General features: G+C 40.0%; 1 protein-coding gene across 9 annotated transcripts in view, besides 2 other annotated features; it reads right to left on the bottom strand.

Moving 5' to 3' along the window:
* Window positions 1–17250, bottom strand: part of FLRT2 (fibronectin leucine rich transmembrane protein 2) — a 124285-nt gene that overhangs the window by 77461 nt on the left and 29574 nt on the right. For 3 of the 9 annotated variants that reach the window (NR_144387.2, NR_144386.2, NR_144385.2), the window contains 2 exons: window positions 15679–15778; window positions 13916–14325 (listed from right to left, as the gene is read on the bottom strand). The exons of the other annotated variants lie outside the window; for them this stretch is intronic. The gene's annotated coding sequence lies outside the window, so the exon portion shown is untranslated. Of the gene's footprint in view, window positions 1–13915; window positions 14326–15678; window positions 15779–17250 lie in introns of those variants that run through there. 9 annotated transcript variants of the gene reach the window in all.
* Window positions 905–1531: an enhancer, noted in NCBI's record as "OCT4-NANOG hESC enhancer chr14:86041781-86042407 (GRCh37/hg19 assembly coordinates)". NCBI's record gives its function as "activates a minimal SCP1, AML or CMV promoter by ChIP-STARR-seq in primed H9 embryonic stem cells {active_cell/tissue: H9 hESC(primed)}" and the evidence as "EXISTENCE:reporter gene assay evidence [ECO:0000049][PMID:30033119]".
* Window positions 7582–8100: an enhancer, noted in NCBI's record as "NANOG hESC enhancer chr14:86035212-86035730 (GRCh37/hg19 assembly coordinates)". NCBI's record gives its function as "activates a minimal SCP1, AML or CMV promoter by ChIP-STARR-seq in naive H9 embryonic stem cells {active_cell/tissue: H9 hESC(naive)}" and the evidence as "EXISTENCE:reporter gene assay evidence [ECO:0000049][PMID:30033119]".

Here is a 17250-nt window from a genome sequence, read left to right as displayed (position 1 = left end):
GAGCACACATGGGCAGAGCTGGCTTTCCACTTTTTCTAAATAGAAATACAAAACGTGTGCACATTTTGTGAATTTCATGTCAAAGATTTGGGGTCTGCCAGCAGAATTTCTGCTCCCCTCTGATGGCTGAATGTCAATGCTCTTTCAGGTACATTTGGAATACTTTCAAGGTGTGTCTACAATACCTTTTCTCCAATGCAATAGAATATTTCCACCACCAAACAAGCAACTAGTTTTAATATGGAGAGCTGCAAATCTGAAATGGGTTTGAAAACAAATAGGACAAACAGCTTGTTAACTTACCCCTAAAAGGTCCAACCAGTGTGTACTGCCATTGCATTTGGAATTAGATTTTCGGAAATTGAAAAACACTGTCTTTGGCTTTCCTTAAAAGAATGCTGGAGGCAAGCAATATGCTGATTATTTTTCAAAGGAGGAGAAGAAGGTGTTGAAAGCTTTTAATAACATGTAAAGCTCCCAGTTTGCAAGCACCAAACACAAAACAATGGTAATGGTTTAGCACTTCATAAATGTATGCCATTCTGTCTACTGTTTGGAGACAGCAAATACTTTTGGACAAATTACAATGTCTCTGCCTTTATGCCTAAATAAAGGAAAACAGCCAAATACTTTGAGGCATCAGAAGATAACCATGGTAATGGAAATACACAGCTCTTGCCACGAAAGAAAAACAAAAAAAAGTAAATACTTATAATTAAAACAGCACTAGAGCTGAAGGAAACCCGGATAACTGAGGTCATGAGTTTTTGAGGCGGCCACGGTCAGCCAGAATTTCAAATATAGCACACATTTTGAGTAAAGGAAGATCATTTTACCTCATGCTTGGTCGTGGTGAGCTCCAAAGTAGGTTATTAATCAGAGAAAACACAGCATATAAATAAACAAGTCCATGAACAATCTCTTAACGAGTTAGTGCAATAAGTACCCTTTCTAATTCTAGAATATACCCTCACAAATGGAGTTTTAAAGGCAAGAGGGAATTAAGGTTTTCTGAACTCCTTAAAAGCTATACCCCTCCCAGGCATTGTGCTAGGCACTTAACATATATTACTTTCTTTAATCTTCTCCATAGCCCAGCCAAGTAAGTGGCATTATCACTTCTTTACAGATGAATATTTGACACACAGACGTGAAGGCATTTAGCTGTAGACTAGGGCTTCAGGAGCTGGGTGAAGGGCAACAAAGCCAGGCTCATTCTGTCTTCCCTCCTAAACACTTTCACTCTCTGCAGCTCTTCTAGAGGTTTAAATTGCTGCCCATTGTTCTTTATTCATTAGTCCATTTGCCCTATGGAAAAAAAAGTGCAGTTGAGGGAAGGATTTCCAATGCTCCTTTTACAAAACAGTGGTTTGGGGCCTCAGGGAAGGAAACTGTTCATCTCATTTCCCCACTGACTACCCTTTGCCTGGGATCACCACTGTGTCTGACCCAACACAGACAACTGTTTTATTTCCCCAGGTCCAACCTAACATGTGCTTACCAAAAAGGTAAGTAAATTTGGGAACACTTTGTTTTTGAGCTGCAGAACTCCTTAATTCCTTCGACAACAATATTTTAAGGTGGAAAATCAGAAGTATTAGTAGATATTTTTGAGTTTGCAAAAAAAAAAATGTTGTAAGAACTAATCAAACTGTCCTCACCTGCAGACAGAGAGGAATGTGGTTCTCAGTCACAGAAGCCCTTACTCCATCCACCCACATTCCACCCCAAAGCACCCAGAAGCAGCAGATCCTTGACAATCACAACCCCCATTGCAGGCTCTGTGCTAGTATCTGCCATATTCACAAGATAAGTGTGCCTATTAGGGGCCTAGAAAATCACATTTGAAAACTTATTAAATAAAAGCCAAAGCAAAAATATTTGCTTTTCGAATGGCCACAGGCCTTTTTTGCTGAGTCAGTTTGTAATAACTGTGGGTGGTACCCAGAGATCAGTTTCAATAGAAATGAATCCCGACTTTGTTGGTGCTGACCTGGTTTGCTCTTGAACAATGGCCAATGCCTTGGTTTCCTACCTTGTTTGGTATGTCCTGGGTAAATTTTTTCCAAAGGAGCCTAAAGAAGTACAATTTAACTACAGTAAGAAATATTCTATTTGAAAGAATAACTATTTGTGAAGACAACAAATTGGCCAGTGAGGAGGTCTTAGATTTCTTACACACCTCACATCAAGATACTCTGCAGTTTAGGAGAAGGTGGCAGTATCCACATGAGAAAGATTGTAACAAATTTCTGTATGCAATGATGGCTTAATAGGAGCCATGTGGTTAAATTCCTTAACACTCTAAAAAAAAAATCTTCAATTTATTTAAGAAATAAAAGTGAATGCTGCACTGGCAAAATGCAACAGAAAGAGAAGAAAAGGAACCAAAAATTGAAAAGGCGTCTCCAAATTTCCAGTATAATGGTTCTCAAAAGGACTCAATACATTTTAATGGGCAGTACCAAAGCCTCTACAAACCCTCTGTCTCAAGGTCCTTTGTGACCTCTCTGCATTAGTTTTTGTGAAAGAATTGAGATTTTCCTGGCTCTATGGCATGAAGCATTGCCAAACAAGATAAAACAAGATTCGAATATTGCGTGGGACATATGCATGCAAGAATATGCATTATCAGAAATTCAAATATACCTATTTTTATTTATTATTTATCTTCTATTCTTATGTATTAAATATACTATTATACATATATGTTTTTTATTTATATATAAAATATTATCATTTATCCTCTATTTTTATGTATTAAAACTATCAACCCTAATAACAAAATAATGAAATAGTCATGGGGAAATTCTGAATGAACTATTTTTGAGCTGGTTAATGGTGCAGCCCAGATGCCCTTATCACTAGTATGCTTCACGGTTTCCTGGGAAGAACTCTGAAAATCTGAACTACTGGGACCTTCCCCTGTGGATCCGGCCTCTTACGGGCCAAGCACCACTATGTTTACAAGCTCCCAGGTGAGCCTTGATGCACAGCCATTTGAAAATGATCTGGCAACTCAGACTAATCAAAAGAAATGAGGAAGACACAACAAGCCAGATTTCTCTGATGGCTCAACTCACTCCACTGAGCCTTTAGATGTGGTATAAAAGTCTTAAAACTTAAAGCAGGGTTTACTTGAGAATGTCAAAAGGAGATCATGTAAACCCAAATAATGGCTGCAAAAATACTGTCCTGGACTACTTCACTACCCAGATGAGGACGCTGAGGGGAAAATCATTCTCACCCTAAATTAGCAGTCCAGAAACAAAACCAAGAATAGAACCCCTGACACCTGATGTCAGAATTTACTCCATGCTGTCACCGTTAAACAATTCCTCCTCACATCCTGTGTCTTGAACAGCTGAAAGGGTTGGCACACCCAGTAGAAGGAGCTGAGACATTTTTCCAGGCTTAGCTGAAGTGCAAACTCCTTCATTACAAAGCAACTGGCCAATCATGGTGGAGCATAAAGAAACCCACATCTGATTCAGAAATTACCTCAACAGGCGTAAACTGCTTCTTCATTTTATCAGAGAAAGCTAATATAATATTAAAAGCGAGTAAAGAAAAATCTAATTGCACTGACCTAAAAATAAAACTCAATTACTTTTTGCTCCCAAAGATGTGTGTGTATGTGAGAGAGAGAGAGAGAGATGTGTGAGTGTGATGTATGTGATATGTGTGATGTGTGAGTGTGATGTGTGGGGTAGGAGTGAAGGGGTGGGAGAGGGAGGGTCTCCCTCTCTTAGCAGGATTTTTTTCTCTGTGATATATCAGCTTTTTAAAATAACTTGCCACCCATCCCTCTATTTACATTGATAGGAACTTTCCTCTGATGGAGGATATGATAGACAAATCTGGGTTGCTGACTATGAGTTTCAACCCAGTTCTATGCCCAAAATGATGACTCACAAAGAAATGTATGCACACAAAACTGTGACTAATCAGAGATAGGAATGACTAAAAAACTGAAGTGTGGCATGTATGTAGTAAGAATTCAGTAGAGTGGAAAGTAGTGAGTGACAAAAACTCTCTCTTGAGAGAGTTACTCAGACTTGTGTTCAAATCCAGGTTCCACAGGCCATAAGATCTGGACAGGCTACTCAAACTCTCTAAGTCCCTTAGCCATCTGTAAAATATAAATAACAGCAGCTAACTCAAGGGGCTACTATGAAGAGTAAGTCAATTAACATGTTTGAACTATCTTCCACAAGCAGGGCACAAGGCACACACGAAATGTATTGAATGAGAAGCATGAATGTGTGTTTCTGTGGACCCAGTGGGTCAGCCAGTCACCATATACTTACAGGGACTAAAGCACAAAACTTACTCTGTGCCTAGCAACATGCAGGAAAAATGAGCTATAAAAGAATAGCGAGGCCTACTGTCTGCACATAACTGTCTTATAATCAGTTAGCCAACACATGCTTAATAACAACCCCTGCCATGAATACGGGACGTGAATAATTATGCAGACAGTACAAAAAATTACTGGATATACTGTCCTGCTCCCCATGTCTGGGTTGAGGAGATAACGCATACCTGCTTGAGAAGTTAATGAAAATGACAGTTAAATAACAACTACAAAAGAACATAAAAGTACACACGGCAGCTCCTGATGAATAGCCCAAAGTGGTATAACTGATAATGACTATGAGCTCCCAGAAAAAGGGAACCACCGTGAGTTAAAACAGTCTGGGAATTCTTCATGGAAGATAAGCCACTTAAGATTGGCCTTGAAAGAGGAGTAGGACTTAGATAAGCAGAGAAAAGGAAATCCTAGGTTTATGATCTAAGTAAAGACACAGAAATGAGAAAACACAGGGCTGAGTGACAACTTCAAGATATAAAGTACATGATTTGTGTTGTTTGTAGCAGTGAATGCCAGACACAACAGTGAGGCCATAGCTGTCTAGGCTGGGGGTTCTCAACATTTTATGGTTTGTCTCACCCCTATGCAGCTGTCAGATAATAATAGTGATCGTTCTCAAGGCTCTGGACCCCAAAATATTTGGGGTTGCATAGGTAAGACTGGTTGCAGATTACAGGAAATTGCTAGTAAACTGGCACTATCCCATCCTTCCAAAACACATACACACATGTTCACCTTTCTATTTCACTGAATGCAAAACAATGGTATCTCTTGACAAATGGTTTAGGTCACCGTAGTGAGAAACAAGAGCCACTGAGAGCTTTGACACACCACATCATGAGACACTTGATGAGCGAAAAAGGTCCTAACTGTGTTCTTTGGATATCAAATACACAGGAAATCAGAGAAGCTGTGCCTCCCTTTGGCTCTGTCCCCATGCTGACCCACCACAGCCCACCTAAATAAGATTCCTCCCACTCCACCATGGTAAGCACATCGAGGAAATATTCAGTACTGGACTAACAATGATTACATTTAATTCTAATTCTTGGAATCAATCTTTGGTATAGGCAGCCTTTGAGCATGTCAATCGAAGGGAACAGCAGAGATTATACAAACCATTTCTTCTTCCTTATGTCTACATCAATCACCCCATCCACTGGTTACACTCTTCATGCTGCCAATTGTCAACAGTTAAGTGAAAATGTCATATTATACATTATTTGACCACCTAATAATTCAATATTCTCCCCACCCCACAACTTTTTTTTATAGTTTGTTAAAATTTCTGAAACTATTATATAAGGTGATAATTTCTATTCTCAAAGAAATTCCAGAATATAAAAACATGATAGCAGACCCTAAGTTAACATGATGGGATTCTTAAGATGACATCGTTTTCTACAGAAACACATTCACAGATATCATCCAGGGCTGAAGTAAAGTATATCCATTGAAACCATCTCAGTCTTGAGCAAAGCAGATGAAGAAAAGCCCCGAGTCCCAAATCTTCAGAATGTTACCAGGACCCTAGATCTACTGTCACCACCTACCATCATCCAAATGCAACACTACTGAAAACCATAAACTTTAAGTAACAGAAGCTTTAAAATCTAAACTCTTGACTCAGTAAAGTGCAAAGAAAAGGCAAGTATAATGGAATACATTAAGCCACCAGAGTTGTTTTTTTAAAAAATAAGGGGAATTTGGCCGGGCGTGGTGGCTCACGCCTGTAATCCCAGCACCTTGGGAGGCCGAGGCGGGCGGATCATGAGGTCAGGAGTTCGAGAACATCCTGGCTAACAAGGTGAAACCCCGTCTCTACTAAAAAAAAATACAAAAAATTAGCCAGGCATGGTGGCGGGTGCCTGGAGTCCCAGCTACTCGGGAGGCTGAGGCAGGAGAATGGCATGAACCCAGGAGGCAGAGCTTGCAGTGAGCCAAGATCATTCCACTGCACTCCAGCCTGGGCGACAGAGTGAGATTCTGTCTCAATAAATAAATAAATAAATAAATAAATAAATAAATAAAATAAATAAAAATAAGGAGAATTTAAAGGGAAATACAAACCTAAAAAAGTCTGTAAAACTATGCACTTCACTCTTTGCTCTTTCATTAACTGTACAAACTGAAGCACACCTATGCAATGTTTTAAAAAATAATAATTGATAGCTAAATGTAAAGTCATTTGGATACTTCTAATACTGTAATCAGATTAAGGTAAGAAAGTAAGACTATGAATTCTAATTCCTAAAATGAAAAGGAAGTTGAATTGTTACATGTTCAATTTTCATATGTGTTTACTGAGTTATTTACAATATCCTCACATAGAATCTAATTTGGAGTTGGAATGTGATGCCTATAAAAACCAAGGTCTTCTATCTTTAATATTCAATGCAAACTTGACAAGGAACCAGAGAACATTTTCAAAGGAGCCCAGGGTACAATTTATGTGTCAAAATAACAGCTCTACCCTCTTGGGTGATGGCTGTTAATATCAGAAGCTGGAGAACAGAATGGTGGAGATACACAGTCTTATTTGGTGTGAAAGCTTGTCACTTTCTGTTTTTGATTTCTGTAAGGCTGAAAGACGATATGCCCATTTGGAGAAAGGCTGTTTAAAGAACACTGTGGTAGACAAAATGGCCATACCAACATCTTACAAATACCACTAAGACCCACTGTCATGTTAACGTGATCCTACAATTCAATCTGGCCAAAACTTTTAAAAGAAAGTTTGGTCATGACAACACTTGTCATCATTTTTTTGGCTAATGCAAAATCCCTCCAAAAGCACAGAAAAAGAAAATGCTTTAATAACGTGATTTCAGGGTTGGTATTCTGCTATTGTCTCATCACTGTGTAGCAAGATAAATGTATTTTTTATTAGCTCTGCTAAAACCAAAACAAACCGTGATAACCAAAGGGCTAGGGGACAAAATAAACCTCATCTGAAATTCTTACAGCGCATTCCTCACTGTGACTGTCTGCAGACTTTATGAGAACTCTAAAGTACACGTCCAGTGTCCTGGTTCCTAATGGTGCCTTTGTCTCTAACATTTATCTCTAAGGACTGAGTTGAATGCATCCAGTGTGGGTGGTGTTTGCTGCATGAGTTGGTCTTTCCTTCCTGCTGTCCTTGCCCTGTCCTGGTCCCACAGTCCCAGCACAGAGGACTCCACTAGACTCTGCCCTCCCTGCTGCTCCTGGTACGGTTTCCTGGTCAGCTGAGGCAACCAGAGGAGCACAAACTTCCCCTTCACTCCATGCCAGGCTGGCAAAAGGAAACCTGCATTGCCCACGGTGGGCTTGACAATCAGTGTTCAACTGCCAAGGGTGTCGGCGGATGGCAGAGCTGCTTCAGGCAGATTCCTCTTTTCTTTCTAGGAGAAATTAAAGAACAATGCTCAAAGGCAAAAATGGTAATCTGGAGTGGCTAAAATGTCCTCCTTTGTCCCCAAAGAGCCCTCACGAGTTTGTCACAAAGCCTAAAAATCCACCACCTGTGAAGTCTTTGTTTCAGTGAAGAGTTGCAGTCACTAGGAAACTGCTACTATGTATCATGAAAGGGTTTACTGATCCATCAGTACCACCGTTGGGATTTCTAAAATAAAAGATAGATTGGCAGGCAAATCCTTAAGAGAAGGGAGACGAGGGAAAAGAGGAGACAGACGGAATGAGTGAGAGGCAGAGAGAGGCGGCTGATATACACCAGGCACTGTGCTAGATGATTTACATACCACATATGTTAACTTCTGAAGTCCGTAATGGCATCTCCAGGTTACACGTAGTAAAACTGGGTTTCCAAAAGTTAAGTAGGTGAGAGAAGAAAGGTAAAGATCCCAGAAATAGGGAGAGAGAGCAGCCAAGGTTGGGCTCCATAGTGAAGTGGCCTCATTAATTGTGGGGCGAAGAGTGCAGGATCAGGCCATTGAGTCCCTGAAGAAGTTCATGAAAACAAAGAGAAAAAGAACAACAACAACAACAAAAAAGCAGGAACTGGATTTGAAGCCCAAACACCACCTCTTGTGCAATTTGGTCCAGAGCTGGTCCAGGCTTCTTGAATGTGAGCACATTTTTTAACTAAAATCCCCAACTGCAGGTTATACCAGAAAAAAAATTAAATTCATTCAGAAACATACCTAGCAATGACCACTGACTTGGTATTAACGCCTTACACATGGTCCTTGAGCCTGTCCAATCATTTTATGATTTCCATGTTCACTCTCCTTACAATAAGCATTTCAAGTGCAGAAGCAGGAAAGCAAAACTCAGCCCATTCAGCGAGACACTGAATGACTTACCTAGGGCAGAACTGGAGCCAAAACTATGCGCTCTGCCTCCAAGCCCCATGATCTTCCCCCAGCAATCATCCCCCCGCAGATCAGCAAGGTCCCATGAACAAAGGCAATGCCTACCCCTACTTCCCTATCTCATCTTTATTTGTCCCCTTATAAAACAGGGAAAGGGCCAAATTCTCAAGGAACCCTCCACAAGCAGAACAAAAACAGCTAATTTCCAAATAAGTAGTCAGGCCTCTTTCTTGTGGTACTCTACAGGCCTTCTGTAACTCACCTGCTGAGAGGACGGCAAGTCATGCTGTTTCTAGGGGAAGTTAACATTCCCCTGATCTCTATAGAAAAAAATAAAAATCAGGCCTTGCGCGGTGGCTCACGCTTATAATCCCGCACTTTGGGAGGCCGAGGTGGGAGGATCACAAGGTCAGGAGTTCGAGACCAGCCTGGTCAATATGGTGGAACCCCGTCTCTACTAAAAATACAAAAAGTAGCCGGCCATGGTGGCGCGCCCCTGTAATCCCAGCTACTCGGAGGGCTGAGGCGGAAGAATCACTTGAACCCAGAAGGCGGAGGTTGCAGTGAGTAGAGATCGTGCCACTGCACTCCAGCCTGGGTGACAGAGTGAGACTCCGTCTCAAAAAAAAAAAAAAAAAAAAAAATGTAAGTCACTTCCCGTGTGCTAGGCCCTCTTCTAAGCCTTTCACAATACTAACTCTTTCAATCCTCACAAACACCCTAACAGCAGGTACTCTAACTATGTGCATTGTACAGAAAGATACTGAGGCAGGGTGATGCAGAAACTTACGCTCCTGAAGAAGTGGCAGAGCTAAGATATAAGCCAATGCAGTCTGGCTCCAGAATCCATGCTCTTAACCAGCATAATGTGGCAACTGGGCACACACACACATTGCAAACACAGAGTGTATGCTTTTCTAGAAAGCCTCAAGTTGGTCTAATAAAGGAAGATGCCGAAGGAAGCTTCGAGATTCCAGGTATCTTTGGAGCTTCTATTACAAGCAGACACCCACCAGGGATGGGGAAACCACAGCGTTCAGGAAACTGTCCAGTGTCCATGGGATTCTGAGGGGGACATGTCAAATGTGGCAGCTCAAATATGATGCTTTCACCCACTTTCATGAAGCCCAAACTTTATGCACGTGTTTGCAGGTATCTTCCCCCAAACCCAGCCCCTCTGATAAAATTACCTTGAAGTGAAAGCATAAATACATTTTTCATTTAAATATGTTCTAACCGATGTGTCCTTCCCCCAACTTTCAATGACACTGTTTCAATCATGAGAAATTTTGTGTGACCCATGGAAACTATGTTGATTACTTTTTAGGCACAACAGAAATATTAATACTGCCTCAAAGTTCTGTGCTGTATTACTCTTCATCTGGCAGAAACGGAAGGCTTTTTCATCATGACTAATTCACAAATGACCAAACTGAAAAATATTTATGTTTGCTTCATTCCTGGGAAGCTAATACATAGAAGGGATATGTTCTTTTTTTTTTTTTCATGCTGAAGATTTCATAGTATCCAACACTGAGACTATTTTTCAGCCACGAGATGACACTTTCTTCCCCTGCAACCAGGCCAGGAATATAAACCTTGTATATTCCACCGTATGTATTTGGATCAACTACTGAAGAATACGAAATATTGCATTTTCCAAAGTGCTTTCACCTAAATAGCTGCAGAAATTTCTATCTTGCACACACACACACACACACACACACACAACCATGGAAGTTAAGAGGACTGAGTGTTCCTTTAGGATTCAACTTGAGAATTTACCTTTGATTATCTTACAGGCTGAGCATCAAGATAATTTTCTTGATTCCTTTATGAAGTCATTTTATTCTCAGAAAACAGTCCCTGATTTCAGTCTAAAGCAGAATAATACTTTGTTATGTTTGCTTCTTTTTTTCCTCAATAAAATCCTCTCTTGAAAGTCTCTACAATCAGACTCAACAGGCATCCGGTGAAAACCATCTTCCCTGACCCACGCATGTGTGGCTCATCAGGCCCTCAACCAAAATGAATTAGGCCAAGTATCATTGTGATAGTGGGTCTCTAACCAGGTAGAATCTGTTTTGTCTCCTGATCTCCAGTGTATGAATCATCAGATTACTTCATGGAAAAAACTACTGCTGGCATAATAGCACTTGCAAATTTCCCTAATTGTGTCATTTTCCTATACAGGTTTACTTGTTGGCATGGCTTAGATTTGGCAGAGGACAAAGACTCATGTTTCTTATTCTAATGATTGGTGGGAACATCGGGGTGGGAGGGGTGGCAGTTGACAAAAAAATCGGTGTATTTTGCTTATTCATCCTTTCATCCTCTACTGAAATCATTCCCCAAACAATGAAGTTTCTGTCTGGAGGACTAACAAAGCAATGTGTTTTCTCCATTAAGATAAGACCTCATGGTGGGTATTTTATCATAAATTCCATTTCAGGTTCCAAGGCCCCATGGATTCAATTGGTATGAAGTTATCAGTGTCACATCAAGCACATTTTCCCTCTTGACCTAAATTAGCTTTCAATCTAGGATTCTTTTAATGCTACTTCCAAGAGTCTTTCAAGCATGACAACTCGAAATGCCAACTTTTATTTTAAAAGCTAACGATGTGTATTTTAAAACCAATAACCTCACCACAAGAAGCTTATATATCTTAATACATCTCCATGCATATGGTTTCTAAAATCATTCAAAAATTTAAATAAATAAAAAAAATTTTGATCACTAACCATGCATGTAATGGAGAGGTAGTAATATCACTATTAATAATATTGGGAAACTATCGGGGTCCCAGATGCCACATAATATTCTGAATAGCAACATCAAGGTCATTATTTTTACATCCAGCCCAATAAAACAATTGTAGATTCCACCTGTCACATATCCACACTTCAACTTAAAATGAATGTGACAGATTACTTATGAGACAAATAGCAGCACACAAGTGATGTTATGACAAAAGCTATTTTGATGACTGCATACATACTCAGGTTATTAATATCACTCCTATGCAAAAACAATATATGACACTCCAGGCTGCATATGCTATTTGGGTCAGGAAGGCTTTCATTATCTTCGTTCAGAAAATAAAACAAAACAAAACTGTTTTTCAAAGTAAAGTAGTTCATTCCCTTTCCCAAGATCCCTGAAAGGAATGGAGGTGACGAAAATGGAAATCTGGTTTAAAATAACACTTTAGGATTTCTGTGGCTTTGTACCACTGACTGTTATACATACTATCTTACAAATTGCATACCAAGACTGGCAGAGTTCATAACTTTGTTGCTCTTTTCTTGCTATCATAGAAATGGTAAGGCAGAGAGCCAAGATAACTAGTGATCATAGGATGAGTCTCTTATCTCCTTCACTTGATAAAACTAGTGATCACATGATAAATCTTATCTATCTCACATCACAACCAAAAACCCCTTTGAGATCAGTGCTATTACAATTCTCATCGTCCAGATGTAGGAGCTGATTTGCAGAGGATGCGAAGCTGCACAGTTTAAGAACTATTACATTACATTACATACAGTTTGTTTCAATCATGCTAGGTATAGTAGTATTTTTCTGTAATAGAGTTACCCACGTCTTCAAAAGACACAGAAAACGGTGTGCATGACAGAATCTTACTTTCAAATACTGCCTTTTGATGTTATCTGAGAGCCTCATAACCCACCAGAAAACTAGCCCTTTTGCCAATGTCAAAATATCCTTTAATAAATCTTCCACGAATACATTTGGAACAATCTTGGTTGGTCCAGTGGAAATGTAATGACTTAGGCTTTTAATTACCTAAATATATTTTTAACCCGGGTTACTGGTGATTGTATTTACTTGTTTAATTTTTGATTGCTTTCTATTTCTCTAAGACGATTCATTTGTACTAAAATGAGGTAAACCAGTGTTTCTTTTAATACTCCCAAATTTTACTCAACATATGGGTTAAACATTGTTAAAGCTTCTAAACTGATATAGGCAATTGAAGCCAATCCAAGCAATACATATTCGAGTAATACATAGTCACTGGCCAAATCAATTCGTGGGTTATGAGAAAACAATGCCATTTGGCTGAAATATTCCCTATGTACAGGCAGAGAAGAGCAGGTAGCCAAGTGCCACTTTGGTGTTCTGCCATGTCAACATTCAAAACAGGGCCATAGAAAAGCAAAACGCTCTGTCCACCCTCTCCTTCCCTTAATAAGTTCATCTATGTAGGAAGAGGACAAGTGCCCTGACTTCTGGCTGTCCACGTAAGTGTCAAATGTAGGGGCCCTTTCACACTAGGGCTTCTACATGAGTGTCTCCCTTTAAACTCTCATGTCTTCCCTGGAATTTAGATCAATTATCATCCATTGAGTTATGTACAAATAGCAGACATACTCATGGTCTCCACCTAAGAGGAAATAGAACATTTCACTTTTCTTGAGAGAAAAGTCAACTTTATCTATTTTTTTGTTTGTCTGTTTTTCTATTTTAAGATTACATAAAGTACTAGGGTTTGGAGGTAAGAGATCTGAGCCAAGTCATGGTTTTGCTGTGTCCGCACCCAAATCTCATGTTGAATTGTAATCCCCACATTGGAGAAGGGGCCTGGAAGGAGGTGATTGAATCATGTAGGTGGACTTCCCCCTTGCTGTTCTCATGATAGTGAATGAGTTCTTGGGAGATCTGGTTTTTTAAAAGTATGTGGCACTTCCCTCTTCTCTTTCTTCCTCCTGCTCCACCATGTGAAGAAGGTGCCTGCTTCCCCTTCGCCCTTCTTCCACAACTGTAAGTTTCCTGAGGCCTCCCCAGCCATGCTTTCTGTGCAGCCTGAGGAACTGTGAGTCAATTAAACCTCTTTTATTCATAAATTACCCAGTTTCAGGTAGCTTATTACAGCAGTGTGAGAACAAACTAACACAAGGTGTGTGGGACTCAATGTATCTGGCATTTGTTAAACAACATAGACCATGGAGTCAGACACATCCAGTCTCATTCCAATCTCACCATTAGGAAGTGGTTGTAAGGCCCTGGTGACAGGGGTAACTACTGTGATATTACCTGGGAACAACTGTGATAACCCCTACTTCCCTAGGCTTCTGTAATTGCCAGGCAGCAATGCCCAGAGAACCATAATTCTCAAACTTAGTATGTGTTCCTTTTAAGGAGTGGAGGTCCAACAGATGCTTTTTGATGTCTAACTTTACATAAGTAAAAAAAAAAAAAATTAAAAATCACACTGCTTTATTATTTATTTACATATACAACACTGTGAAAAGGGCGCTAGATAAGTAGAACAAGAAGCCCAGTTTCTGGTACATCCTGCTTCTCAGTCACCTCTAGGTCTCTGGAACTTGAAAGCTATGTCTCTTCTTGCAGGGTTCTGTTACAATCCATTGATTTTCCCTCACGGTATAAAGTTCCCTTTGCTTAGTTTCACTGGACTATTTCCCCCAGGTCATTCTGACAAATGATGTTCTTTGTTGTTTATACTGTTCAATAGATTTCATTTTGAAGAACATGATGCAATCATGTGACGACATTCTTTCCCGTTATTGAACCGTGTGGCCTGAATACTGCCCTAAAGGACAGGAAAGAATTGATGTCCATGAGCATAGTCTTTAATATATCTTGAGTCTAGATTCAAAAAAAAAAAAAAGAAAGAAAGAAAGGTGGGTTAGGAGGAGATTTGGGAACCAGCTTCAAGTAACTAACATTATAGACCCACCTACTCTTTCTGATCTATTATCTCATCTGATCCTTAGAATGAGTTCATGAGTTGGTATTACAAACCTCAATTCTCAGAGGAGGAGACTGAGTTTCCCAAAAGTCAAATAACCTGCATTTGGTCTTCACAGCCAAAATGTGGCAGAGATTGCATTGAAACACGGGTCTTCTTGATGCCAAATGCCACACACCCAAGAAACACACAAAACAATGTAAAAATGTTATGTAGCATTTGAGTTACTTTGGATTTAACTGTCAGAAATGTCTATGTCTGTGTGGAAATGAAATATTCTCTTGGAAACATGAGTGAGTCCCATGGACTAAAGAAGGTGACCAGGTGTGTAAACAAGTGATGCCTTTCCTTCCACGGCATTGTTACTTACTTTCTCAGATGCCTGCATTTAGTCCAAGGTTTTACTCATAGCTTTAAAGTGTAAAAACTGTCAGAAAACTAACACTAAGCATTGGTATTAGTCATATTCCCTGTAGCGGGAAAGAGTCTTCAACTTATCTTGAGACCAGTTTCAATTGGTAAGAAAGCTTAAGGACAGAAAAGAAATGAGGGAATGTGTCCATGGAAGTGACAGAAGTGTCACATAGATGTGAGGATGAGAAGCTCTGGAATTTTAGGGGCACTAAAACCAAACAACAGCCACAACAACAACAAAATACAAAGACAATGACAGCAATAGAATTTCATAATTTTACCAAAGACCGGGGCTATCTAAAGAACTAATGATTTTCAAGGTTACTTTATGATACATTTTTAAAAAAGGGCAATTTGACATTCTAGTGGGAAAGGCTTCTGGTACGATTCTATTTTATCTCGTTCCTACTTTATCATTGTATTCTAGGCAGTCATTCTGTAACTTTATTGGCTGTCAACAGTATCATTTGCTGTAATAACGGAGGGAGAATTTCCATGATGGCAGGAGCCGTGCATCAGGATGCCTTGCCATCTACCTGCCAGGGTGCTGTGAGTGTTCTAGAACATTTCCAACATTCGTTCTGTACAATTCATAACCTAGCAGATGGCACCATTAAGCAAGGGTCCCCAGTAGTCAGTCTCTTTGAAAATGAGGGCAAAGAAATGCAGAATAAAATTAAGTTGACTGGAATAATACACATGCTTATTCCTTACAGTATGTTGACAATGGCTGACAAATGTCTAGCGGATATAATCTCAGGGAACGTGCACAATAACATTTTACAACAACATAAACTGAGATTGTAAGATACCTTGATAAATAGCTACTTTCTTACCCCCAGGCTGGTTCTCCTCTCTCCAGATACATGTACAGCTCCCATTACCATCAAACAGCCAGGAGAGAATTACACACTGCTCAGGAGATAGCTTCTGAAACTGCGAGACGTTAAAAAGCCATATTCAAATCACGGGGTTGTGCAACACAAACATGTTGTACAGAATGTATTATCATTTTCTGAGGCAAAGAAATATAGACTGTGCAATAGAAAGGTAATGGGGAAAAAATGTAGTGCTCTACATACTGACAGTGAGCCGTTAACAAGGTAAAATTATCAAATATTGGTGCAATTTGGAGCATGCGTTTTTCTGTTTGGGGAATTATGATAATGTGACAAGGTTATCGTTATAATTAGGAGAGTAATTAAAGTAACGGAGTAATTGCTTGTCTGCATTTTTTCTTAGTCAAGAAGATCTAATTGCACGAAAAGAAGAAAAGAAAATTTTTCACATTTTTTTTTTAGGTTTCCCACCAGCATCACTGAGACCCTAACGCAGGCAGGCTAGCCATACTGGCATATTGTGCCTTCTAATTTTTTTTTTTTTCTTATGAACAACTATGGTTTCTCAGCTGCTACAAATTCCTGGTCACACAGCATACATTCTGTGTGTGAAGACTGCTTTATGAGGAGCCAGCCCTTTTTTGTGATGTCATTTCTTTTTTTTCTTTATTTTTTATTTATTTCTTTTATTTATTTATTTATTTTTGAGATGGAGTCTCGCTCTGCAGCCCAGGCTGGAGTGCAGTGGTGCGATCTCGGCTCACTGCAACCTCCGCCTCCCGAGTCCCAGTTCAAGCAATTCTCCTCCTTCAGCTTCCCAAGTAGCTGAGATTACAGCCACGTGCCACCATGCCCTGATAATTTTTGTATTTTTAGTAGAGACGGGGTTTCACCATGTTGGCCAGGCTGGTCTTGAACTTGACCTCGTGATCCGCCCTCCTCAGCCTCCCAAAGTGCTGGGATTACAGTCATGAGCCACTGCGCCCGGCCTGTGATGTCATTTCTAATTCTAATACATTTCTCCTTCTGGCTTCATGATTCTAGACTTAGTTTCAATTAACTGTATGTTCACATCTTCTCACCTATAGACACAAGGAAAAACAAAACCTCACCCAGTAGGATGTAAATCCACATGGAGTTGGAGACATGTAAGAACCAAAAAATAAACAAGTAAACCTACTCAGCCCCAAAGAGTCAGAGCTGGGACAGACAAGGTATGCCTGGCAGAAACACTTTGAAGTACAGAAATGACAAAATAGCATTAACAGATTTGTTGAAATTCTTGAGGGGAGTGAGATGGAGGACCCGGCAAAGCCTCTGGGAAGTCTGCATTTTTGCTCAAAATCTATGGCTTCCTGAGAGAGATCATCCACATGAAGTGAGAGTGATCCAGGCAGGCCCAGGAAAGTCACTGACTAAACGCTGCTAATGCCATCAGGAGATCCGGATATCAGAGATCTAACTTGTAACCTGTGATCTAACCTCACGGAGGTAATGGGCAGCACAGACCTGAGTAAGAGCAGTGAGTCCCAGAACATCATTGGAGGGAAACTGGGCCATGTATCTCTG

This window comes from Homo sapiens, chromosome 14, assembly GCF_000001405.40.
Source record: "Homo sapiens chromosome 14, GRCh38.p14 Primary Assembly".
Taxonomy (NCBI): Eukaryota; Metazoa; Chordata; class Mammalia; order Primates; family Hominidae; genus Homo; species Homo sapiens.
This window is presented reverse-complemented; position numbering and strand designations above follow the sequence as displayed.